This window comes from Homo sapiens, chromosome 9 (assembly GCF_000001405.40).
Source record: "Homo sapiens chromosome 9, GRCh38.p14 Primary Assembly".
Taxonomy (NCBI): Eukaryota; Metazoa; Chordata; class Mammalia; order Primates; family Hominidae; genus Homo; species Homo sapiens.
Genome location: NC_000009.12, coordinates 34,234,443 through 34,260,160, shown reverse-complemented (window position 1 = coordinate 34,260,160; position 25,718 = coordinate 34,234,443). Strand labels below are relative to the sequence as shown.

At 46.1% G+C, this 25,718-nt stretch overlaps 2 protein-coding genes across 21 annotated transcripts in view, besides 2 other annotated features; one reads left to right on the top strand and one right to left on the bottom strand.

Moving 5' to 3' along the window:
- KIF24 (kinesin family member 24) overlaps window positions 1–7,781 on the top strand; it is an 81,292-nt gene extending 73,511 nt beyond the window's left edge. For all 10 annotated transcript variants that reach the window (XM_011517863.4, XM_047423343.1, XM_047423340.1 and 7 more), the window contains 4 exons: window positions 456–565; window positions 2,180–4,426; window positions 4,996–5,089; window positions 5,641–7,781. In XM_011517863.4, coding sequence (XP_011516165.1) covers window positions 456–565; window positions 2,180–4,426; window positions 4,996–5,089; window positions 5,641–5,781 — 2,592 coding nt within the window. In that variant the 3' untranslated portion in view covers window positions 5,782–7,781. The remainder of the gene's footprint in view (window positions 1–455; window positions 566–2,179; window positions 4,427–4,995; window positions 5,090–5,640) is intronic.
- Window positions 4,563–5,762: an enhancer, noted in NCBI's record as "CDK7 strongly-dependent group 2 enhancer chr9:34254397-34255596 (GRCh37/hg19 assembly coordinates)". NCBI's record gives its function as "activates an origin of replication core promoter dependent on BRD2, BRD4, P300/CBP, MED14 and CDK7 cofactors, with strong dependence on CDK7, by STARR-seq in HCT116 cells {active_cell/tissue: HCT116}" and the evidence as "EXISTENCE:reporter gene assay evidence [ECO:0000049][PMID:35650434]".
- Window positions 6,964–7,013: a silencer, noted in NCBI's record as "silent region_19843". NCBI's record gives its function as "represses an Ori minimal core promoter by ATAC-STARR-seq in GM12878 lymphoblastoid cells {active_cell/tissue: GM12878}" and the evidence as "EXISTENCE:reporter gene assay evidence [ECO:0000049][PMID:35858748]".
- UBAP1 (ubiquitin associated protein 1) overlaps window positions 7,638–25,718 on the bottom strand; it is a 73,519-nt gene continuing 55,438 nt past the window's right edge. For all 11 annotated transcript variants that reach the window (NR_033243.3, NM_001171202.1, NM_001171201.1 and 8 more), the window contains 4 exons: window positions 18,053–18,976; window positions 10,200–10,382; window positions 9,402–9,503; window positions 7,638–8,769 (listed from right to left, as the gene is read on the bottom strand). Coding sequence is in view for 10 of the 11 variants with exons in the window: in NM_001171202.1 (NP_001164673.1) it covers window positions 8,629–8,769; window positions 9,402–9,503; window positions 10,200–10,382; window positions 18,053–18,976 (1,350 nt within the window). In the remaining variant the exon portion in view is untranslated. The remainder of the gene's footprint in view (window positions 8,770–9,401; window positions 9,504–10,199; window positions 10,383–18,052; window positions 18,977–25,718) is intronic.

Here is a 25,718-nt window from a genome sequence, read left to right as displayed (position 1 = left end):
TCTTGAACTCCTGGGCTCAAGCGATCCTCCTGCCTCAGCCTTTTGAGTAGCTGGGACTACAGACAGGTGAGTGCCACTGTACCTGGCTTCTTTTTACATTTTGATACATATTGCCAAACTGCCCTCTGGAAAGCTTGTCCAGTTCATGGTACATGCTAGCGTAGAAGAGTACTCATTTCCCTGGACCCTCACCAAGGAATGGCATCGTTAGTCTCTTAATCTAATGAGTTAAAAATATTGGTTTTTTTAATGGTTTGTTTGCATTTTTTGGATTAGTGATGTGGTGAGTACCTTTTTCTGTGTTTATTGGCCATTTGTATTTTTTCTTTTGTTAATGTTAATTACCTTTTTGTGGACAGAAGGGAACTATGGCCCAGCATCCTGCACCTAGTAAGTAGTCAGTATGCACTTTGTTAATTGACTTCACTCATTGACCTGCCTTCTGTTTTGGACAGGTCCTGAAGGACTCTTTCATCGGCAATGCCAAAACCTGCATGATCGCCAACATCTCACCAAGCCACGTGGCCACTGAACACACTCTCAACACCTTGCGCTATGCTGACCGGTAAGTCAGCTCCCAGATGGCAGGTTGTGTGTAAGTGTGCATGTGCATGTCTGTGCAGCACGCGTGTGTGAGCATGTGTGCACGCGTGTGTGTGTGCAAGTGCATGCACATGTCTCTCCCACTCACACACACATAGGGATCTGACCTTGAGCGCCACAGCCTTGTTCTTGGCAATTAGTCATTTGAAGACTGTGACCTGGTAGGCCCTGTCACTTTGCAAGCATGACAAGAGGAAAATGACACATTCCCTTGTTCAGGAGTTAATTCTGTCAGTGGCTTTTAAATGGCTAGTGAGAAGTGAAATATTAATGGGTGGAAGGCTCAGTGTTGTTTTCTTCCTGCTGGCCTCAGCCCAAATTGTAAGAGATAGAAGACATATTACTTGTCAAGGCAGAATCACTTAGAGCTATCTGTGTCCAGAAGGGCCCAACCCAAACATGTTAGAGGATAAACTGAGGTCCAGAGAAGGGTAGGATCTTTCCAAAGGCTCACTAGGAGTTGGTGTCAGAGCCAGCAACTCTTGACTGCCTGGCCAGGCCTCTTTGTGGGTGACTGTGGTATCTGCTGGGATCCCTTCCATCTCTCACCCTGTGGTCACATGTGCTCTCCTAGTAGGTAAGATGTTTTTGATTGCCATGACTGGGAAGAAGTGCTACTGGCATCTAGTGAGCAGAGGCCAAGGATGCTGCTAAACATCCTTCAAGAAATAATTATCTGGTACAAAATGTCAATAGTGCTAAGGTTGAGAAACCCTGGGAATAGACAAGTCATTTTTCCTTTCATGGAATGAGCACAAGCCTGTGTATTTCTGGAGGTTTTGCTTCCTGAGGTCCCAGCAGGTTTGAGGGAACTCATCTTCCTAGAGAAGCCTGAAAGGGGGTGGTTTGCAGAAAAAGAGGACTCTGTGGAATTGCAGGTAAGTGGTGGACACGAACTCCTGAGTTGGCCTCTCTCCAGGAAGCAGTGTGGGCCCTGCATAAACACAGTGCACTTCTGAGACTGGCGTCTCTGGCCTGTCCCTTACATGGGGCTGTGGTGATTTCCAAAAGGCTTCTTCTGATCATGGAATGTTGGGTGCATGCTTACATCCTCAGAGAAGACACTGTTCTTTCTCGTTTGTTTTTTAAAGACAGAGTCTCACCCTGTCACCCAGGCTGGAGTGTAATAGTGTGATCATGGCTCACTGCAGCCTTGAACTCCAGGGCTCAAGCAATATTCCCCGCCTCAGCCTCCCAAGTAGCTGGGCCTACAGACACGCATCACCATGTCTGGCTAATTTTTTTATTTCTAGTAGAGATGAGGTCTTGCTCTGTTGCCCAGGTTGGTCTTGAATTCCTGGGCTCAAACAGTCCTCCTGCCTCAACCTCCCAAAGTGCTGAGATTACAGATGTGAGCCACTACAACCAGCCAACACTGCTCTTTTTCATTCAGGTACAGAGGGATATCTCATGCTGAAACAGAATGTTCCCTTTTCCTCTTATTCTATCCCAGATAAAGAAATAACTCCCAATCCTTGTAATACTTTTCTTTGGTTTTTGTTTTCCCAGAAAGCTATAGAAAAGGAATTGCAGAACATGTGAAAATACACATTTAACATAAAATGATTATTTACAGGGTCAAAGAACTAAAGAAAGGCATTAAGTGTTGCACTTCAGTTACCAGTCGAAATCGGACATCTGGAAACTCCTCTCCAAAACGAATTCAGAGCTCCCCTGGGGCTTTGTCAGAGGACAAATGTTCTCCCAAAAAAGTCAAGCTGGGATTTCAGCAGTCACTCACAGTGGCAGCCCCTGGTTCCACGAGAGGGAAGGTCCATCCTCTGACCAGCCACCCACCCAACATTCCTTTTACTTCTGCACCTAAGGTCTCTGGTAAAAGGGGTGGCTCCAGAGGGAGTCCTTCACAAGAGTGGGTCATTCATGCTAGCCCTGTGAAAGGAACTGTGCGCTCTGGACATGTGGCCAAAAAAAAGCCAGAAGAGTCAGCACCATTGTGCTCTGAGAAAAATCGAATGGGCAACAAAACTGTCCTTGGGTGGGAAAGCAGGGCCTCAGGCCCAGGAGAAGGCCTAGTGCGTGGTAAGCTGTCCACCAAGTGCAAGAAAGTGCAGACAGTGCAGCCAGTACAGAAGCAGCTTGTGTCTCGAGTTGAGCTCTCCTTTGGCAACGCCCACCACAGGGCTGAGTACAGTCAAGACAGCCAGAGGGGCACGCCTGCTAGGCCTGCCTCTGAAGCTTGGACAAACATCCCGCCACATCAGAAGGAGAGGGAGGAACATCTGCGTTTCTATCACCAGCAGTTCCAACAGCCACCTCTCCTCCAACAGAAGTTAAAATACCAACCACTGAAAAGGTCTTTACGCCAGTACAGGCCCCCAGAGGGTCAGCTCACGAATGAGACTCCGCCTCTGTTCCACTCTTACTCTGAAAACCATGATGGAGCCCAAGTAGAGGAACTTGATGACAGTGATTTCAGTGAAGATTCTTTTTCACACATCTCTAGTCAGAGGGCCACAAAGCAAAGGAACACCCTGGAGAATAGCGAAGACTCATTCTTCCTGCACCAGACGTGGGGACAGGGTCCTGAGAAGCAGGTGGCAGAAAGACAGCAGAGTCTGTTTTCTAGCCCCAGGACAGGTGACAAGAAAGATCTAACTAAAAGCTGGGTGGACTCCAGGGACCCCATAAACCACAGAAGAGCAGCACTCGATCACAGCTGCAGCCCAAGTAAGGGGCCCGTGGACTGGAGCAGAGAGAACTCTACTTCCTCAGGGCCTTCTCCCAGAGACAGCCTGGCAGAGAAGCCATACTGTTCACAGGTAGATTTCATATATAGACAGGAAAGAGGTGGAGGCTCTTCCTTTGATCTCAGAAAGGATGCCTCCCAAAGTGAGGTTTCTGGGGAGAATGAGGGCAACTTGCCATCCCCAGAGGAAGATGGTTTCACTATCTCATTGTCCCACGTTGCAGTTCCTGGATCCCCAGACCAAAGAGACACAGTCACCACACCTCTGAGAGAAGTCAGTGCAGACGGCCCAATCCAGGTGACCAGCACTGTGAAAAACGGTCATGCTGTCCCAGGAGAGGATCCTAGGGGGCAGTTAGGCACGCATGCTGAATATGCTTCTGGACTCATGTCTCCCCTCACCATGTCCCTCCTGGAGAACCCAGACAACGAAGGGTCTCCTCCCTCGGAGCAGCTGGTCCAGGATGGGGCTACGCACAGTCTAGTGGCAGAGAGCACAGGGGGCCCAGTTGTGAGCCACACAGTGCCATCTGGTGATCAAGAGGCAGCCTTGCCAGTGTCTTCAGCAACTAGGCACCTGTGGCTGTCCTCATCTCCCCCTGATAATAAGCCTGGTGGTGATCTTCCAGCTCTGTCCCCATCACCCATCCGTCAGCACCCAGCTGACAAGCTGCCCAGCAGGGAGGCAGACCTAGGAGAGGCCTGCCAGAGCAGAGAGACTGTACTTTTCTCCCACGAACACATGGGTAGTGAGCAGTATGATGCTGATGCAGAGGAGACGGGGCTGGATGGCTCCTGGGGTTTCCCAGGAAAGCCCTTCACCACCATACATATGGGGGTACCCCATTCTGGACCTACACTCACCCCACGAACAGGAAGTAGTGATGTGGCTGACCAGCTCTGGGCCCAGGAGAGAAAACATCCTACAAGGCTTGGTTGGCAGGAGTTTGGTTTGTCCACAGACCCCATCAAGTTGCCCTGCAACAGTGAAAATGTCACATGGCTCAAACCCAGGCCGATCTCAAGGTGCTTAGCAAGGCCAAGTTCTCCCTTGGTTCCCAGCTGCTCTCCCAAGACTGCAGGGACACTCCGTCAGCCCACCCTGGAGCAAGCGCAGTAAGTTGGACACTTTCCCTAAGACTTGAGCCCCTTTGGCACCCACCCTCCACTCCAGCTTACTGTTTTGTCATGGACAAAGAGAAGCCATGCAGGGGTACGCAGGTGAGCTAGTCTGCTTCTAGCTCCAACCCTCTGCTTTGGTCCCGGGCCCTCCACAGGAAGTAGAAATGATAGCAGACCAGGCAATAGGCTCCATCTTGTGCCAAGTATGCCAGTTGCAGTCACAGCCTTGAGAGCCTTTCTGCAGGGAAGCTGTGGGAAATGGGCAGCTCCTGTGGAAGAGCAGCAGCACCCAGCCCTGCCCCCTCAGTACAGCTGGGGAGGCAGGAGACAACTTGGGAAGCCCCTGTCTCCCTCCCTGTATCTCGTTGGTACTCCGTAATTCCTTACCTAATCCTGAGAAAGAGCAGGTGAGGGGGAGCTGGTTGGTAAGCTGGCCTTGGTGAAAACCTTGACCATTTTCGGCAGAGGCAGCTCTCAGCTTACAAATGAGATCACCTCCAGAAAGCTACCCAGGAGAGGCTGGGAGGCCAGGAAGATCACAGTGTTCTCTCTGGTGTTCCCAGGCAGGTGGTCATCCGAGCACACCAGGAACAGCTGGATGAAATGGCTGAGCTCGGCTTCAAGGAGGAGACGCTGATGAGCCAGCTGGCTTCTAATGTAAGTAGCCCTGGCTGGACACTCACAGGCTGTTGGGAATTAGCCTGCAGCTAATTTGATGGTCATCCTTGTTTGCTGTGGCTGTGTGTGGGGAAAGGGTCTCCTGGCACACACTAACCATAACTGAGGCCTCACACCTCCTCTTGCCACGCCTTTGAGACATCTTGAGTATAGGTACAGGTGGGAGATGGTGCAACACTCGCCTTTTCCAGGCTAAAATGTTTCCAGCCTCTATCCTCAGCTGCTCTGCCTTCCTAGCGGTTTGTCGGGGCCCCTCCCTGTGACTAACAGTGACCAGTCTGCTGCCTACCACACGTAGGTATTTCTACCAAATACCCTTCTGCCTTACAAAATACTCCTCTGCTTGGAAAGTGTCTCGAATGCAGAGCAGCAGGCCCCACCCTGTGCCATAGCAACTATCCTACATGTTCTCCCGCTGGAAGAGTGGCCTGGGTTCTGAAACTTTCCTGCCAGAGGAGGGACTGAAAAAGCAGATCTGGCAGAGCGCCAGCAAGAGCAAAAGCTGTATTCGTCCCTTGTTTCCTTCTCAGGATTTTGAAGATTTTGTGACCCAGCTGGATGAAATCATGGTTCTGAAATCCAAGTGTATCCAGAGTCTGAGGAGCCAGCTGCAGCTCTATCTCACCTGCCACGGGCCCACCGCAGCCCCTGAGGGAACAGTGCCGTCTTAGAGCCAGACCCTGTGCCGAGATGGTGGGGGCCCTGCAGGAGTCTGTGCTGGGCTCTCAGGCTGGAGGAGCCTCTGCCAGGTCCTCCCTGCACACACCAGAACCCACACGCTGGTCCTGCCTATGCTAGCGTCACCCCAGCCCCACGTGGCTTCAGATAGGTCCCAGCTTCTCCCTCAGGGACAGGCCCCTGTCCCTCAGTTCCATGCACAGGAGTGCCTCCAAGGGTGGGCCAGGCCGAAGAACCTAATGCCTTTCCCTTGTGCCTAGAGAATATGATTAACTAACCCCTTGCCTGTGGGAATATATTTGGGTCTAATAACCCTGAAGTTTCTAAGTTTGGGGATCAGAGGATGGGGTGGTCAGTGGTAGCCTAGAGGTCAGAGGTCACAAGACAGAGAAGACAACATGCTGAGACCAGAGGCTTCACCAGCTGAATTCTGTGCCTAACTTAGAAGACTAAACACTGGCCCAAACTTAACCATTGGTGCTAGGGGGACAGGGGTGGGGTGAGCTCTGCCCCATCAGCCCTTGGAGATTGATTTGGGGATTTAGAGGCGTTTTTGAAAATGTAAATAGCATAAACCTTGACTTGATGTGTCACTGACAGCAGCAGATGTGAGACAGGCCTTATATTTACAGCTCCCTTCCCTTCCTGCAATCCAGTGTTGAGGCAGAAGAGGGTGCCTGTGTCACACATCAATTTTTCTCCTGACTTTTGCTCGGGTGAAAGGCCTCTGTACAATGCCCGATACTCTCATGCTTCCATGGCAGCTCCTGGCTCCTATCTGGGACACCTCACTACCCAGCCCCCTCATGGAATAGTCCATCTCCTAGCCTGGCCTTCATCCAGTTCACCCTGCCCAGCCACCCTGCCTCTCAGGGGTCTGTGTTGGGAACCTTGGCAGTTGAACAGAGTGCTCTGTTCAACAGTCTGAGGCCTCTGAAACAGAATTCACACACAAACCTTCAGCCAAGTTCTGCCTGCTGTGTATCTTTTTAGCAGGAAGCAGCTCAGGACAGGGAAGACAAAGTAGCCTCCAGGTGCCAATTACTTTAAAGCCACTCTGGGTCAAATGGAGATTCATGAGTCACGGCCTTGGCCCGAACGCCCATTACTATGTGAGCCTTTATTTCCTTCAGATAAAGGATAACTTTTTACGGTTTTAAAAGGAGGGCTTAATTAAAAGGCCAAGAAGAGGGTTAAATGGCTCTCTTGAGACACTAGCAGCCTGGTCCAGTCACCCTTTGTCAGCCTGACAGTGCCTCATCTGACCGCCAGGGGGCATCCTTATTGGTGCTTCCCGGCTGCAGGGCACTGCGGCCCCTCCCTCACATGATCACTAAAAACCTTCAAAGACCCAGTCTAGCCAAAAGCTCAAGTGGGACAATGGCACAGTATTAAGGTCAAGGACAAAAACTTACTTACTTTAGGAATGAACCCTATTCTATCATCATATACAACAGCACCACTGAGAGCTGGTGAAACAGTTTAAATCCCATCCTCTGCTTGTGGCAAATGATGCATAAATGCCTGCTGCTCACAGTAAAAGGGCTTCTTCCTCTTTTACTGGGTGATCCCCCTGAAGGCCCAGCCTATCCCAACTCCACAGTCAGGAAGGCCTACGTCCTTGGTCCACAGACGGAGCTGGGCCAGGTTTAAAAGACTCAGTCTAGGCTTGCCTTTGCAAACCAAAAACGAGGACAGGTCTGAAGTGGGAAGAAAGCTCCGAAATAGAAAACGGTTAGGTCCTATTCTATCCCCAGCAAATCTAAGCAAGAAATCTCTTTATACACCACATGGCCCCCCCACTCCCATAAAACAGCCTTGGTAATAAAGAAGTTATCACACCAAGACATACCTTTTAGATTTTTATTAGTAGTTCTCTCTGAAGAATCAAAATAGTTAGTTAGCAAATTATTTTAGATTCAAGACTGTATATCCTTTGTATTTAGATCTTTAATGATGTACAACATAATACAAAACAAACCAGAGAGACTGATTTCTATGACTAGGTGTTATTCATTGTGTCATCCTAAAGCAGTGGGCTGGAGGGGAAGCTGTTCAAGGAGAACAGAGGTGGAGTTAGTGCTGGCCAACTAAATCATGGCCTGTCTGCTTACCCATTCAATGTGCTGGGAAGGGGCCAATGATTTCTTAAACTGTTTCCTAGAGCAGGGGCTCTAAAACCCTGGGTAGCAGAGGACTGTGGTCCAAACCAAGCCAAAAGAAACAGGCTGGGGTAGGGAAGCATGGTGACTGCCTGGCAGAAAAGGCAAACTCTGGGCCCCATAGGGAAAAGTGCATTCTTTGCACCTCAGAGATATTGCAGAACCAGTGTTAACACTATGAGACTTTGTTAGGAGGGGAAAAAATAAAACCCTGGAAGAATCTTTCACTTGAACTCAACTTGACTGGAGTTCAGTCCACCAGTCTCAGGGGAAGGGGGAAGCACCTAGCTCCACAGCAGCACTGAGTCTGGCCCTCCCGCCCCATCTCCCCAGCCCCTCTCAGCAACTAGGCCAGGCTTCAGCTGAGGACATAAACACCCCAGAAAGACTAGGGTAGTCTCTCCGGAGGGCTGAAGTGGGAAGGACACTTCTCAAAATGCAAATGCGTTTAATACGGAAGGAGCCAGGACAGTTCTGGGGGCACTCACATGCCCGAATCTTCCCCACCTCCCCAGCTCAGGGCCTAGGCTCACAGAGACTGGCGAGCAGTCTCCACACCTGACCTTCTAACCCCCAAAAGAAAATCCGGAAGCTGCCCCTTCTCTTTCCCCACAGGTGGGCTCTGCAGGGCCTCCCAGGGATGGTGGTTCTGCGGCAGGGCCTAGGCAGGGCCTGGTCTCAGCTGGCTCCTGCCCGAGCCATGAGGTCTTCCAAAGCATTGTCCTGGTCATTGTTGTGTAATAGCAAAACTTCCTTAATGTCTTTCAGCTCAAAGCCCATCTCCTTAAATTTGCTCATTAACTGAAGAAACTCCATCATCTAAGGGAGAGAAGAGAACACAGATTAAAGAAAAGGGTGGGGTCACAGCACAGCTGAGTGAAGGAGTGTGTGTGTGGGACGGGGACTGGGGGAGAGCAGAATGTCTACATCCTTCCCCCAGAGCCCCGTGAGTCTCCATAAGGTCCCCTAGCAAGCAGAGGTGGGCTGTGGTGGAAGCCAAGGCAAACGGGTTTGGTGACGGCCATCAACCTTCAGGAGTCAGCCCAGTCCCAGCTCACTGTTGCTGAGCTCTGTCTGGGTCCCACCACCCACATCCATCTTCCCACCAAGGAAGGATACTGAACCCAGAAATGGCTGCTCTTCAAAGAGCAGTCTAGGCAAAAAGTCCAGCAATCTCCCTCCCTAATCATCTAAGAAGTTTGGCTTTTAGCCCAGGCCAATATTCCCTTCCCTTCACTGGGATTCTGAAGTTTTCAACCCAATGCTTCAACCACCAAGCCAAACGCAGGCCTCGGCCTGTCTGAATACTTGGGAGATTCTGCCCTTCAAATACTTGTACCTGTAGTCACTGGCAAAGCAAAAAGGTTGTGTGTGGGCCAAGGGAGAAAACCAGGATGGATACTTGGTCCCTCCTTTTCCAGAGGGTTCCCAAGAAACATGAAGATTCCCACCTTTTCTTCTGAACACTGGTGCATTTCCAGAGCCTCTTCCACTAAAAGAGGGTCGAAGCCCTTCTCACAAAGCTGTCCATGTGCAAAGAGATAGTCGAGAATCTAAGAAAAGAAACAAGGGGTTTAGCACCTACTGCTGCTCTTTGCTGTGCTTTCCAAGAGACCTCAACAAACTAGTGTGTGAAGTCCGTTCTCCGCCCCACCCAGGCCGTCAGATACTGGATAGGATTTGATTTTGTGCCTTGACTGTGTCCAACACAACAGGACCCCAGTGACTCTTTAATGAACACAGGCACAGCCTTCTAAACAGGAGCAGGCATTTTCCAAAGGAGTTGCAGCCACAGCTGACACGCCCACCAGAATGGTCAACTCCACAGCCTGGGCAGGCGGCTACTCTAAGAAAACAGCCCAAGTCAGAAAATGTCACCAAGGTCTAACACTCCAGTACCCTAATTCAACACTCTGGGCATAGATGACAGGATGAAAATTCCTGGAAAGAGACATTTGACCATACCCCAAGCCTAGCTCTGCCCCTTTTGGAGAGGCAGAGAAAGGAGGGGGTAGTTGGAGAACAGCTCCAATTCTCCCAAAGCTGTCTCTCAGCCTGGGTCCCGGAATAGCTTCCAAAAGAAGTACTGCTCCCAAGGCTGCTGGCTTTCCCCAAAACATGCCCCGTGTCCTCACAAACCCACAGGAAAGGAGGTTGGTGCTACAAGTCTGAGGGGCTCTAGGACAGGGGAGGACACTACTCCAGCTCCACAGGTCTGAGCCTGCCCTCCTGGCTGACCAACCGCTCACCTGCTCAATATTCTCTCCTTTCTTCTTCATGGCTCTGAGGACACACTCGTACGAGTAGCCCATGTTGACCACCGTCTCCACACACTGCCGCTCGCTGGGGGACAGCATCTGCAGTTCAGAATAGGCCTGGGGACAGCTGGGCATGTTGGGCACTTGTGACACTGAGAAATTAGGAGGGGTGACCTAGTGGAAAAACAAGAAGATTAAGGCAAGAAGACCTGGGCCCCCAAAGAAGTCACTGAGGCAGCCTAGTCCAGGGGTTGGCATTTCTGACACTATTCAAGCCCCAAGAAAAGCGGTCAGGTTGGAAGAAATCGCCAGGTTGCTGGTCAGACACCCTGAAAAGGAACAAAGAGGGGTAGGGGAGTGCCAGCTGAGAGGGAAAAAGGTGGGAGGTCACCTGCAATTGTGGCTGTCCTGCTCTGCCCTAGTCCCACTTTGGTGATTGAGAAAGCGCCACAACACGACAGGCCCTTGCATGCCCAAATCTCCAGGATTTGAGTTGAAGAAAGAAGCTGTGGCTGCCCCCGGGACTGATGTCCAAGCTGGCTGCGATTTCTCTCCAGCATTATCCCTTTCCCAGGCTGAAGTATCAGTTCTGAGGCATCATTTTTCACTTCAAATACTCCCACTTTGGAGCTAACTCTATCCCAAAGTCTCTACTCTTCGGCAGAGGCTGTGAGTGTGGTTCCCATGCATGGACAGCTTAGGAACCTGGACAGCTCAGGAACCCAGGGTTTTGAGGGTACTCCACACCTTTGCCCTACATCATGTACTGTGCTTCGTTTCCTGCCAAAGCTGCCATCCTACAGTGCCAGGACAGAAGGCATACTAGCCACACCAGGCTGGATCCCACAGACTGGAATCTGGACTCTAGGGACCTGCCCACCAGCTACAGGCAGCCTGCTCCCTGCCACTGGAACTTACTAACCCCAGTCGGATAGGCGTACAGAGTGCCGTGATTAACTCCCCCACCACTTCTGATCACAAATCAAGCCCAAGGCAGGAAGACAGCACACTCCCAGGCCAAAGGACCCACTGACCACAGGAACGAGGTCACAAGCCCTTTTACAGCTTGGCGCAGGTCCCAAGAACCAGGGAAGATGTTCACACAAAAATTTTTTTATTTCCTTGTTTTATTGGTGGGGAGAGGGAGCATGGTTAGGTGGTAGGAAGCCCTCTGTCCTAGAAGCAAGTTCGAAATTATACAGATGTAACCAGATGCTCTCCTCAAAGTCTGCTGGGGAAAGCCAGGATGGCTATAGGCCTCAGAGCCCATTCTGTTGGTGCTTAACCATCTCACCCACAGCACACACTCAGCAGCCCAAGCACAGGGCTGTCATTATGGTACAAGAGTCACAATAAGGCACAGGGATTGGATCACACCAGTCTAGCCACTTGGCAGGTCTAAGATTGTGTCTCCCTCTTTAGAGACGGGCTTTAACCTGGGCTAAAGAAACCAACAGCCACAGAGCAATGCCAGCTCTCACATGACATTCCCCAGCCAGGAAGGAGTCAGGACTATTCTTCAACTGCCTGCCCTTCTCATAATGCCTCCTAAATGCCTGGTGGGATGCAGGCATACACCCAGAATACTGCACATTACAAATGTTAATAAAATCATATCTAGCCAGGTGCGGTGGCTCACGCCTGTAATCCCAGCACTTTGGGAGGCCGAGGCAGGTGGATCATGAGGTCAGGAGTTTGAGACCAGCCTGGCCAACATAGTGAAACCCCATCTCTACTAAAAATACAAAAATCAGCCGGGTGTGGTGGCACATGCCTGTAGTCCCAGCTACTCGGGAGGCTGAGGTGGGAAAATCGCTTGAACCCGGGAGGTGGAGGTTGCAGTGAGTGGAGACCATGCCATTGCACTCCAGCCTGGGTGACAGAGTGAGACTGTCTGAAAAAAAAAAAAATCGTATCTATTTTAAACATACATGCAGTACTCTCACATACCCTACTGGTGGAAATGTTATTTGGTATGCTTTAGGTAAACATGGCATAAATCCAGAAAACTGCTCAGATTCTTTGATCCAGTTACCTATTTCTAGGAAACTAGTCTGAAGAAATAATAATAATGCAAACCAATATTTATGTATAGGAATATATCCATCTCAACATCATTTGTAATAAATTTTAGGGACAACCTACCAAATATCCAGCACAGGGTGTTAGGTTAGCAAATAATGAACATACGACTGTTAATTATTTAAAGCATCTGAATTAAGTGAAAAAACAGCGGGTGAGGTGTCTCACACCTGTAATCCCAGCACTTTGGGGGGCAAGGCAGGCAGACCACCTGAGGTCGGGAGTTCAAGACCAGCCTGACCAACACGGAGAAACCCCATCTCTACTAAAAATACAAAATGGGCCAAGTGTGGTGGTGCATTCCTGTAATCCCAACTACTTGGGAGGCTGAGGTAGGAGGATCACTTGAACCCAGAAGGCGGAGGTCTCAGTGGGCCAAGATTGCGCCACTGCACTCCAGCCTGGTTGACACAGCGAGACACCGTCTCTAAATAAATAAATAAATAAGAAAAAAAGATATATTTATTAATTGTACATGCTCTACAATATTTTTTAAAGATGCACGGGATATTAAATGACTGATTTTAAATGGATGATTTAAAAGTATCATCTATCCTAACAGATGATACTTTTCTTGAACAGGGACAAACAAAATAAGATGTCACCTTCATATAAATGTTTCATGAATCAAACAGGCAACAGGCTAATCCAGCAGACCCCAAACGGACAGACAAGGTTTGAAAGGATCCCTCATCAAAATTATAACAGTGTTTAGTTTCTCCAGTTACTCACCAAATTTATTTACTCCAGGGTACCATTTTCAAATATATATAAGGCTCTTAGGAGTAATCTAGATATGACTTTTTAAACACCATTAACTGCATTCATGGTAGCCATTTGTCATTATTTTTTCAATAAAAGAATAGTAAAATTTACTTCCTGCAGGGGCAAAGGTTGACTCTGGCATAAAAAGGGATTTTCATACTCGATGACTGAAGTGCTCCATATTTGTAACCAAGTAGAAACTAGACAAAAATGAGAATTATTATGAAATCTTTCCAAATTAAATATGAGTGTTTGAGGGAAAGTACGTTTGTGAAAGGAGACAAATATTAGTGCTCAAGCTTCTGAAGAGTCTCAGCATGCTCTCAGGCCTCAGAAGGTGGCAGTCCTTTCTGTACCTATGTGGCCCTCAAGCCTAACCTCAAGACAGCTTCTACCAAGTCTTTCCATAAACCTCCTTTTAACCCACTGCTAATGTGTGTGCACAACTCAGCGGACACACTGCCACCTGTGGTCCCACAGAGCTTTAGTCACACTGCTGGCAAAGTACTTATCACATTACATTAGTGTGAGCTTGCAGAGAGGTCAGTTACCATGTCATGCCCATTTCTAAATCCCCAGGGCCTGACTCTTGGCTTTACACTTACTGGTCTTCATCAACAGTTGTGGAATAAATTGAAGTCCATTAGAATTTTCAAAGGGAGAATTTCATTTAACACACTAAAATGTCTTTACCATCTCTTCTTCCCAAAAGCCCACTAAAATGATCATAAACAAACTAAGGCCAGGAGCAATGGCTCATGCCTATAATCCCAGCACTTTGGGAGGCTGAGGCAGAAGGACTGCTTAAGCTCAGAATTTTGAGACCAGCCTGGACAACATAGTTGAGACTCATCTCTACAAAACACAAAAAGTTAGCCAGGTGTGGTGGCACGTGCCTGTAGTCCCAGCTACCCAGAAGGCTGAGGCAGGAGGATCACTTGAGCCCAGGAGGTCGAGGCTGCAGTGAGCCGTGATTACAGAGCAAGACCCTGTCTCAAAAAAAATAATAAAAATTTAAAAATAAAGAATTAAAACTGTATTCATCTTTAAAGCAATAAAAGGAAAGGGGGTAGCAGTGGACAATATATTTCTTATTCTTTTTAAATAAAGAAACAAAGACAAGATCTCAGTATGCTGCCCAGGCTGATCTCGAAGTCCTGGGCTCAAGCAATCCTCCCACCTCGGCCTCCCAAAATGCTGGGATTACTGGTGTGATATATTTCAATGAAATTTTAGAATGTGGAAAGATAATGAAGGGATGGTAATTGCCAGCAATGAAGTTATAAACTAAGTAAGTAAGTAGGAAAGGGGGGAGTCAGTCTATCAGCCCATTAGGATCCCTAAGAGGGGCTCAGACTCTGGAAGCACCAGGTACTGTTGGGATAAGGCAAAGATACACACAGTCAGTGATCAGAGCAGTAAAGCCCTTGGTGAAACAGTCCCCATTCATCCCCACCCTGTGCAGGAGGCAGAAGGTATAGTCTCCAGAAAATGGGAACCAGAGACCAAAGAGGACTAAGCACCAGGCACAGTGTGGGGCAGAGTGAAGTGAAAGAACTTAAACAAGGATTAAGTAAAAGCAACACACCAGCATTCCCCAACATCAGTCCTCAGCCAGAATTCTCTGGAGAAACCCTCACCCAAGCCCTTCACATGTTTACATTTTGGGGACTTCCCCGGCAAAGCCAATTAACTTTCAACCTATAGTGAAGCTTAATGATCAGCAAGCACACCTCTGACACACAAACTTTGTGACTGTTATTTTTTTAGTGCCTCATACTTAAACGTGAATAGAAAGCCAAAGCCACCAGCATGAAAACACCAAACCAAAAGAGGGAATAGACAAAGCACTTGGAAATTTAAAATATGATAAAGTAAAAATTGTATTTAAAAGGTAGTAAGATTTAGGCTGGGCATGGTGGCTCATGCTTGTAATCCCAACACTTTGGGAGGCTGAGGCAGGAGGATCACTTGAGCCCAGGAGTTCAAGACCAGCCTGGGCAAACAGTGAGACCCCCAACTCTACAAAAATCAGCTGGGCATAGTGGTGCACACCTGTAGTCCCAGACAGGAGGCTGAGGCAGTAAGCTGCACCCCAGCCTAGGGGACAAAAATCCCATCTCTTAAAAAATAATCACCTACTATCAAGTTCAGGGGGAAAAATAAATTAAATAAAATAAAAGGTTGTAAGATTTAGTAGTTTTTTTTTGAAGTTGTAAGTTAAGGATATGTCCCAGAAAGTAAAACATAAACAAGATCTGCACTCTCATGTTTGTTGCAGCCCTGTTCACAATAGCCAAGATTTGGAAGCAACCTAAGTGTCCATCAAGAGATGAATGGATAGGCCAGGTGCAGTGGCTCACACCTATAATCCCAGCACTTTGGGAGGCCGAGGCAGGTGCATCACCTGAGGTCAAGAGTTTGAGACCAGCCTGACCAATATGATGAAACCCCGTCTGTACTAAAAATAGAACAATTAGCCAGGCGTGGTGGCACATGCCTGTAATCCCAGCTACATGGGAGGCTGAGGCAGGAGAATCACTTGAACCCGGGAGGCGGAGGTTGCAGTGAGCCGAGATCGCAACATTGCACGCCAGCTTGAACAACAAGAGCAAAATCTGTCTCCAAAGAAAAAAAAAAAGAGTAAAGTGAAAGAACTTAAACAAGGATGGATTAAAAAAATGTGGTGCTCGTACACAATGGAGTACCGTTCAGCCATGAAAAAGAATGAGATCCTGTCATTTGCAACAACATGGATGGAACTGGAGATCATTATGTTAAGTGAAATAAGCCAGGCATAGAAAGACAAACATCACATGTTCTCACTTATGTGTGTGATCTAAAAATCAAAGCAATTGAACCCATGGACATAGACACTAGAAGGATGGTTACCACAGGGGCTGAGAAGGGTAGTAGTCGGGGGCTGGTGGTTAATAGGTACAAAAAAAATAGAAAGAATGGCTGTGTGCGGTGACTCACACCTGTAATCCCAGCATTTGGGAGGCCGAGGCGGGCGGATCACGAGGTCAGGAGTTCAAGACCAGCCTGGCCAAGATGGTGAAACCCCGTCTCTACTAAAAATACAAAAATTAGCTGCGCATGGTGGCAGGCGCCTGTAATCCCTGCTACTCTGGAGGCTGAGGCAGAAGAATCCCTTGAACCCAGGAGGCAGAGGTTGCAGTGAGCCAAAATCACGCCACTGCACTCCAGCCTGGGCGACAGAGCGAGACTCTGTTGAAGAAAAAAGCAAAGAAAAAAATAGAATAAGATCTACCATTTGATAAGACAACAGGGTGATTATAGTCAATATTTAATTGGCCAGCCACTGTGGCTCACACCTGTAATCCCAGCACTTTGGGAGGCTGAGGCGGGTGGATCACTTGAGCACAGGAGTTCCAGACCAGCCTGGCCAACATGGCGAAACCCTATCTCTGCTAAAAATACAAAAATGAGCCGAGCACGATAGCACATGCCTGTAATCCCAGCTACTTGGCAGGCTGCGAGAGGCAGGACAATCGCCCGACCCTGGGAGGTGGAGGTTGCAGTGAGCAGAGATCACACCACTACATTCCAGCCTGGGTGACAGAATTAGAATCTGTCTCAAAAAAAAAAAAAAGAAAAAAGAAACACCAGAACTCCAGCTCTGTTTATACCTGCAGGTGGAAGGCAGCAAATTCTCAAGCCAACAAGAAGCAGGCCTCTTCCCATCCTGAGATGAACAGGTCAGAAAGAAACTCCCATCATCAGGCTGGTCAAAGAATGACAAGCGTTCTAGTTTGAGAAAGATCTCTGCTGTTAGTTTATTGGCTTTGATCTCTAAATGGTTAATCTAACTTTAAATGAGAGGAAGGGAGTGTTGGCCAAGGATCCCTGATCTTTTCCAGGGAGATTTTAATTTCTCTAAAGCATTCAAAGTACCATGAAAAGGAAGAAGTACAGTGCTGACCAGAGCCCAACAACTGACCAAGAGGAATTAGAATGAAGCCCACTCCAAGAAGATAATAATGGTGTTCGGCACTCTATCAAGTTTACCCGGGCCAAGGTTTATGGAAGTTTACAAGCAGCTATGAGCTCTCTGACAATAGAAGCATTCACACAGACTATCATTGACCAAGAATGCTATTACTGGGACTTGTAAAGCAGGCCAAGATTTTGTATCTTTTTACCAGCTAATAGCAGGCTTGTTATGGTCTCTGACAGATATCCCACCAATATACTCAGGCTCCTTTTTGGCTCTAAATAGTCTCTTGATGTGCTTTTACATTAAAAAATCTGTAAGCTGGCCGGACACAGCGGCTCACCCCTGTAATCCCAGGAATTTGGGAGGTGGAGGCAGGTGGATCAACTAAGGTCAGGAGTTTGAGACCAGCCTCGGAAACGTGGTAAAACCCCGTCTCTACTAAAAATACAAAAATTAGCTGAGTGTGGTGGCATATGCCTGTAGTCCCAGCTATTCGGGAAGCTGAGGCAGGAGAATTGCGTGAGAGGTGGAGGTTGGCAGTGAGCCGAGATGGTGCCACTGCACTCCAGCCTGGGCGACAGAGCAAGACTCTGTCTCAAAAAAAAGAAAGGAAAAGAAATCTGTAAGCTGGTGTAGCAAAAGGTTCTTGACTTCTATTGATTTCTATTCTAGAATGCAATAATGTGTTGTTCTGTACTGCCAGTCTTGGTGGCTCACACCTGTAATCCCAGCACTTTGGAAGGCCAAGGCAGGCAGATAACTTGAAGTCAGGAGTTTGAGACCAGCCTGGGCAACGTGTCAAAACCGCATCTCTACAAAAAACACAAAAATTAGGTGTGATGGCATGTGCCTGTTGTCCCAACAGGCTTGAGCCCGGGAGGTCGAGGCTACAATAAGGTACGATCACACCACTGCATTCCAGCCTGGGCAACAGAATGAGACCCTGTCTCGAAAAAAATCAACCAAACAACAAGAAAAAACATAATCCCTGTCATCAGGAAAATATGGGAGTCGGCGGGGGATTTAAAAGACTTACCGTGGGACCAGTATTTGGAGGTGATGATTCCTCTGTGCACACAGACAAAACAGAGAGGGAAGGCATCTGGGAGGATGTCAGGGCTGGCATCTCTGTGCCACTGTCCAAGTTCAAAGCTGAAAGCCCAAGAGTGTGATGCCCATTGAGCTCACTGGCACTGCTTTGGGTGGAAGGCTTTAGGGAATTCTGGAACGTGCCATTGCGGAGGCAGGATGTGCTATGGAAAGTGCTCGCCAGCTTGGCTGTCTTCTGATTGCTGTCATCAGAGTCAAGTTTGGGGAAAGACAGGGATTTGATATTGCTTACTGCAGGTATAGGGGGGAGGGACACTTTGGAAGACAGTGACATCTTTTCACAGTTGCCCAACTGTGGTAAGGTTATAAAGCCATTGGGTTTATGAAGAGGCTTGAAATCTAGGGTTGCCCGTTCCAAGGATGCCAGGACCTCCTCATCCTGTAACACAGACCCAGAGCCTCCCCTGGGCAAGTTATTGTCCAATAACTGAGCCATAATGGGTCCAGTGGTTCCTACCAGAATATTTCTCAGCTCTTCCTTCTCATCAATAGTTTTTAACTCCAGATTATCAAATGGGTCTTCTTCACACTCAAAGTCAGCAAGATTGAAATCCGCCTTTATGTGAGGTGGGCTGAGAACTTTCTGTTTCGTGGCACTACTGCTGACCCGAGTTGGTGTGAGGATGCTGTTGTGCTGCAAGCTGGCGAGGATGGGGTTAATAGGAGGTGGCATTGTGGCTGTACTGTGAGTCTTGGAGAAGCTCATTTTGCTATCGCCCTCTGGGCCACTCTTAGAATTCACTTTAGCTTCTGCTTCCGCAATTTTGCACTCTGCTTCCCGCTCGGCTTCTTCGATTTTCTTAATCTCTTCAGCCCACTCAATGGTTTTCTTTTCCAAAGAGAAGTCATACTGCAAAGATATAGCAGAGGAAGGGGGTGTGAACCCAGGTGGCCATCTTTACCCCACCACCCAATTCACTCCTTCCTCACTCCTGGTGCAAGAGGATAACCGGACAAGGCAGCATTTAAGGCGTGTGGGATGATCCCCACTTAAAAAGAGTAAGGCTTCCAATGTCCTTGTAAGATTTAACCAAACTATGTTCCCACAAGCCTCTTGTGGGCAGCAACCTGGCTACAGACCCTCCTTGGATCTCTATTATCTAGCACAATGTCCTAAACAAATCCCATGCTAGGTAATGATAGCCCCAAACATGTAAGAAATACCTGTAAGGTGCCATGCATGATTCTAAACACTTTTTATGCATTAACTCTCTAGATTTTCTCAATAACCTTTTAAAGTAACTACTATTATTCCTACTTAACAGGATCTACAACCAAGCATAAAGCTGGTAGCTAAATGGAAGAGCCTGGATTTGAACCCAGGCAGTCTGACTACAGATTCTATGCTCTTAAACCACTATCTATTAGATTATGATGAACAGGTTGCAGTTAAAATGCAGAAAAACTTATAAGAAATCAGATTAAGATTTTTACACAGCAAATTACACAAAGAGCCACTTCATGGTTCTTTAACAATATCTTAAGTATAGCTCAATTTACAAAAATTTATTTTGCACACTTAAGAGAAACAGACCTATTATATAAAGCAACATTCACATAGGACAGGAAAAAACAAAATCTTTGGCTTTCACCCCAAAGCACTAGAGCTAAACAGTATCTGTGTTAATGTCCAAGGTGAGAGACACACTAAAAGTAAAAAAGGGGGAAAAGAGAGGTCTAACGTGCTAACACCAGAATTTTAGAGAAGAAACATAGGAAAGAGCCCCTGGTCATACTCAAGCCATTCAAATTCAAACAACAAAAGAGAAGCCTAGAAAGGCACATGACAAGAAGTTACTTTACATCCTGAGCCAGCTGCTGTGCCTCAGATAGACATATGGGGGGATCACTGGGCTTCCTTTCTACCACTAATGGAACAATGAGAAAAGAGCAGTGGCAATGACTCTGCTCTTCTAACTGTGGAGAAAACCCAATTTTGCAATTGGTTCCCCTAATAAAAATGGAGGCTATAACTAACTTCCCATTGCCCTATAAACATTGTTCTTTGAAGTTTTATTTTAAAAAAATTGGAAATTTCTTTCCTTTTCTAGCAAACATTTATTGAACTTTTGTTTTTTAGTTACCAAAGTAATGTAGAATACTTGGAACGCAGAAAAAGCAGGGTGCGGTGCAGGGAGGGAGGGGGCTGAGGATGGCAGAAATATTAAAGTAGAAAAGAATGTGGTTTTGGAGTATAATAATAAATAATGTCATCTTGTATTTATGGAGTTCCAGGAACCAGAGTAAGCATTATAAATGCATTATTTAACTCTTCTAACAACCTTAAAAGCTAATCATCCTCATCCTCCCTTTACAGATGAAGAAATTGAGGCTTGCAGAAGTTAAAAAATCTGTCCAAGATTATATAGCTATTACAGGTCAATTCTCCAGCACATGTATGAGTGACACCAGAGGATGTTCTAAACCATGACACTAAGGGCTACCTCACGTGAGCCACATTCAACAGAAGCTTTCTGGACCCTAGAAGCAAGGGCTGTGTATGTTTTACTGGCTCACTCTAAAGAAATTTTAGCTGAAAAGTTGAGTTTGTATTGTCATGCAAAGGCAAATATGACAGTTATAGGAACTTTCAAGCCATCTGTCTAGAGCTCTAGGTCTGACTGTTCTCTGGGTACGGAGGGGACCAGATACAACACTACAACCCCATGGAGACTCCAGACAGTCAAAGTTTAAGGCTGCTTTGTAGGCCAGACAGGCTTGGCCTCCTTTGAGAGGCCAAGGTGGGCGGATCACTTGAGGTCAGGAGTTCGGGACCAGCCTGGTCAACATGGCAAAACCCTGTCTTCTACTAAAAATACAAAAATTAGCCAGGTGTGGTGGCACATGCCGTAGTCCCAGCTACTCAGGAGGCTAAGGCAGGAGAATCTCTTGAACCTGGGAGGTGGAGGTTGCAGTGAGCCAAGATGGCGCCACTGCACTCCAGCCTGGGCAAAAGAGCAAGACTCCATCTCAAAAAAAGATTGCTTTGTGCATTAGAGAACAAAAATATTTCACATGGCCCACATTGGAATGGAGCTCTTAGCTTTGATCTCCTTTTGTTATCAGTGGGTGCTATGAGCACAGTGAGCACATACCATGCTTTTATTGGTGCTTCAGACTGACCAAATGGGAAATTCCCAGCAAAGCCTAAATCGACAATTTGGGAATCAAAACAAGTTTTCTGAAGGCATCAGTAAAGCAGTGAATAATGAGAAACAAGACAGGTGTTTTTAAATCATATTGCTAATAGTATCATGTACAAAGGTAAGTAATGACTATTTGTTATTGCCAATAAAAAAATTCTTACACAAATAAAACATGGAAAAACGTTACAAAGTAGGTCTATCTCTCTTCTGGCCCAATAAAGTCTCCATACACAAAAGGAACATTAATTCAGTATTAAAGATACTTAAGATGCTTGACACCATTAGACATGAAAGAAATGCAAATAAAAACCACAATGAGAGACAACTTCTCACCCACAAGAATGTATATAATGAAAACGAGTTAATAAGAGTGGGCAAGGAAGTGAAGAAATTGGTACCCTCTTGTAGTGCTGCTGGGATTGTAAAATTGTGCAGCCACTTTGGAAAAATAGCAGTTCTTTAAAATGTTAAACATAGAGTTACTATGACCCAGCAATGCCATTCCTATACATTATACCCAAGAAAACTGAAAACATGTGTCCACACAAAAATCTGTTTACAGATGTTCAGAGCATCATTATTCATAATAGCCGAAAATTAGAAACTACCACAATGTCCCATCAACTGATGAACAGATAAACAAAGTGTGTTATATCCAAACAATGAAATATTATTCACCTACAAAAATAAATGAAGTACTAATACCTCATTCATACAACGTGGATAAACCTTGAAAACATTATGCTAAGTGAATAAGCCAGTCACCAAGGCTGCTACTGCAGAATTCCATTTATATGAAATGGCCAGAATAGGCAAACCCATAGAGACAGAAAGTAGATACTGGTTGCCAGAGGCTGCGAGGAGGCTGCCAGAGGCTGTGGGGAGTGACTTCTAGTGGACACTGGGTTTCCTTTTGGGGTGATGAAAATGTTCGGGAATTAGATAGTAATGATTATTACACAACTATGTGAATATATTAAAAATCACTGAACTGTATGTATACCTTAAAAAGGTGAATTTTGGCCGGGCATGGTGGCTGACACCTGTAATCCCAGCACTTTGGGAGGCTGAGGTGGGCAGATCACTTGAGGCCAGGAGCTCAAGACCAGCCTGGGCAACATGATGAAACCCCATCTCTACAAAAAATACAAAAATTAGCCAGGCATGGTGGTGCATGCCAATAGTCCCAGCTACTCAGGAGGCTGAGGAGGGAGGATCACCAAGCTCAGGGAGGTCGAGGCTGCAGTGAGCCATGACTGTGCCACTAGACTCCACCCTGAGTGACAGAGTGAGACTGTGTCTACAAATAAACCAAAAAAAGTTTTTTTTTAAAAAAAGGTAAATTTCATGGTATGTGAATTATATCTCAATAAATATTTTTTTTCTCCCAAAAGTAACTGAAGTTCCCTCATTATGATTACTTACTGCATATAGACTTTGGAAGATAAAAAAAGTAATACCTTTTAGAATAAAATGGTGATGCCTTAGTGAATTCCAGAAAAACAAAACTTCTTTTCCTGAAAGCTGCATTTTTAAAAATCTTCTTAAGTCACAGGAAGAAGAGTTAAAGTACCATATTTTTCTGTTGCTCTAGGTAACTTCTCTCAACTGTAAGTACCTTGAGGGCAGTGATTAAGGCATTTATCTCTACCTGCAGTGCCCAGTAGACCACCTCTCATAAACATGCGTTTAGTAAATGTGTACTGCAGTAAGTAAGTAACACAGGGCTATTTGTTGCTTTCAAGGAGTAACTCAGTACATTTCTATATAACTGAGCCTTAAAGATGGGAGGACTGAGAAAGAAGCCCTCGAAGAGATAGCATTTACACGCAATCTAGAATAGATTTGAACGGAGTTTTCAGTATAGTGAGAAAAAGAATATTCCAGGTGGAGATAACGGCTCATGAGCAGAAGCAACATATAGAGAGATAACGTACAAGGTCTAACAGACTACTAGTAACGTGGTTTGGAGGGAACATGGAGGAGGTGATGAGCTCAATTGCTTTGTCATAACCTTATGTCTAGACTATACTCAATAAGGACTGGTTAGTCATTGAACCCTTTTGAACAGTTATGAAAAGGGATGTGACAATTTAAAACTTTAAGATCATTCTAGAAACTATGTAAAAAATAGAAGGAAAACACCGCAAGCAGAAGGGCCAATTAAAGAGGCTACTGCAACAGCCCAGGTGAAAAATGAGGTCAGGCTGAACTGCAATGTGAGACACAGCAAATCTAACTTGAGTGACTGAAAAGAGAATGAGGACATTAGCAGAGAAAGGGAAAGAGGTGAAAAAGCTAGTTAAATGGGCAATGGGAATTTGGTCTGTGTGAGGTACAGGGCCCCAGGAATATACAATCTAACAGAGGACACAAAATCTGTATGTGTGTATAACAATGTGAGCCAGGCAACAATAGGAGCTATAAGAAACAAAAATAAGATAATACAGTCATAATGACAAGGATACGCTCTAAAAAATGCATGTTAGGTGATTTCATCGGTGAGGGCAGAGTGTATTTACACAAACCTAGATGGTACAGCCTGCTATACACCTAGGCTATACGGTATTGCTATGGTACAGTATTGCTCCTAGGCTATAAACCTGTATAGCATGTTACTATGCTGAATACTGTAGGCAATTGTAGCATAATGGCAAGTATTTATGTATCTAAACCTATCTAAACATAGAAAAGGTACAGTAAAAATATGGTATAAAAGATTAAAAATAGGCTGGGTGCAGTGGCTCACGCTTGTAATCCCAGCATTTTGGGAGGTCGAGGTGGGCGGATCAACTGAAGTCAGGAGCTCGAGACCAGCCTGACTAACATGGTGAAACCCTGACTCCACTAAAAATACAAAATTAGCCGGGCATGGTAGTGCACACCTGTAATCCCAGCTACTTAGAAGGCTGAGGCAGGAGAATTGCTTGAACCCAGGAGGTGGAGGCGGAGGTTACATAGAGACAGAAAGAGTCTCTCTTCTTGACGAGATCGCGCCATTGCACTCCAGCCTGGGCAACAAGAATGAAACTCCGTCTCAAAAAAAGAAAAAAAAAAAAAAAGATTAAAAATGGTCCACCTGTATAGGGCACTTACCATAAATGGAGCTTGTAGGACTGGAAGTTGCTCTGGGTGAGTGAGTAAGCGAATGGTAAATGTGAAGGCCTAGGACATTACTGTACAGTAGTACCCTTGACTTTATAAACACTGTACACTTAGGCTATACTAAATTTGTAAAAAACAATTTTTTGACCGGGCGCAGTGGCTCACGCCTGTAATTCCAGCACTTTGGGAGGCCAAGGCAGGCAGATCACGAGGTCAGGAGATTGAGACCATCCTGGCTAATACAGTGAAACCCCGTCTCTACTAAAAAATACAAAAAATTAGCCAGGCATGGTGGCGGGCGCCTGTAGTCCCAGCTACTCGGGAGGCTGAGGCAGGAGAATGGTGTGAACCCAGGAGGCAGAGCTTGCAGTGAGCCAAGATTGCACCGCTGCACTCCAGCCTGGGCGACAGAGTGAGACTCCGTCTCAAAAAAATACATACATATATATATACACACACACACACACACACACACATATATATATACACATATACACAAATGTAAAAAACAATTTTTCTCTAAATAATAACTCTAACTTACTGTGCCTTTTTAACTTTATAAACATTAAATTTTTTTAACTTTTTTACTCTTCCGAACTAATACTTAGCCTAAAATGTTTTTTATCTTCCAAAACATTTTTCTTTATACTCTTATTCTATAAGCTTTTTGATCTTTAAATTTTTTATTTTTTTACTTTTTAAACTTCTTTCTTAAAAATGAAGCCACACACACATCAGCCTAGGCCTATAGGATCATCAGTATCACTGTCTTCCACCTTCCCATCTTGTTTCACTGTATGGTCTTCAGGAGCAATACATGCATGGAGCTGTCATCTCCTATGATCACAATGCCTTCCTGTGGAATATCTCCTGAAGGACCTACCTGAGGCTGTTCTACAGTTAACTTTTTTAATAAGTAGAAAGATAATGCTAAAAAGTATAGCATAGTAATACATAAATGAGTAACATAGTCATTTATTTGTATTACATACTATACTGAATTGTATGTGCTATACTTTTGTAAGACTGTCAATGCAGCAGATGTGTTTACACCAGCATCACCACAAACACTTGAGTAATGCATTGCGCTACCATGTTACAATGGCTACTACGTCACTATGTGATAGGAATATATATATATATATCTATCATTTTTTTTTCCCCTAGTAGAGATGAGGTCTCATTAAGTTGCCCAGCCTGGTCTCAAACTCCTGAGCTCAAGTGATCCTCCCACCTTGGCCACCCACAGTGTTAGGATTACAGGCGTGAGCCACCACGCCCAGCCCCTTATAATTTTATGGGACCACCATTGTATATGTGGTCCATCGTTGACCAAAACAT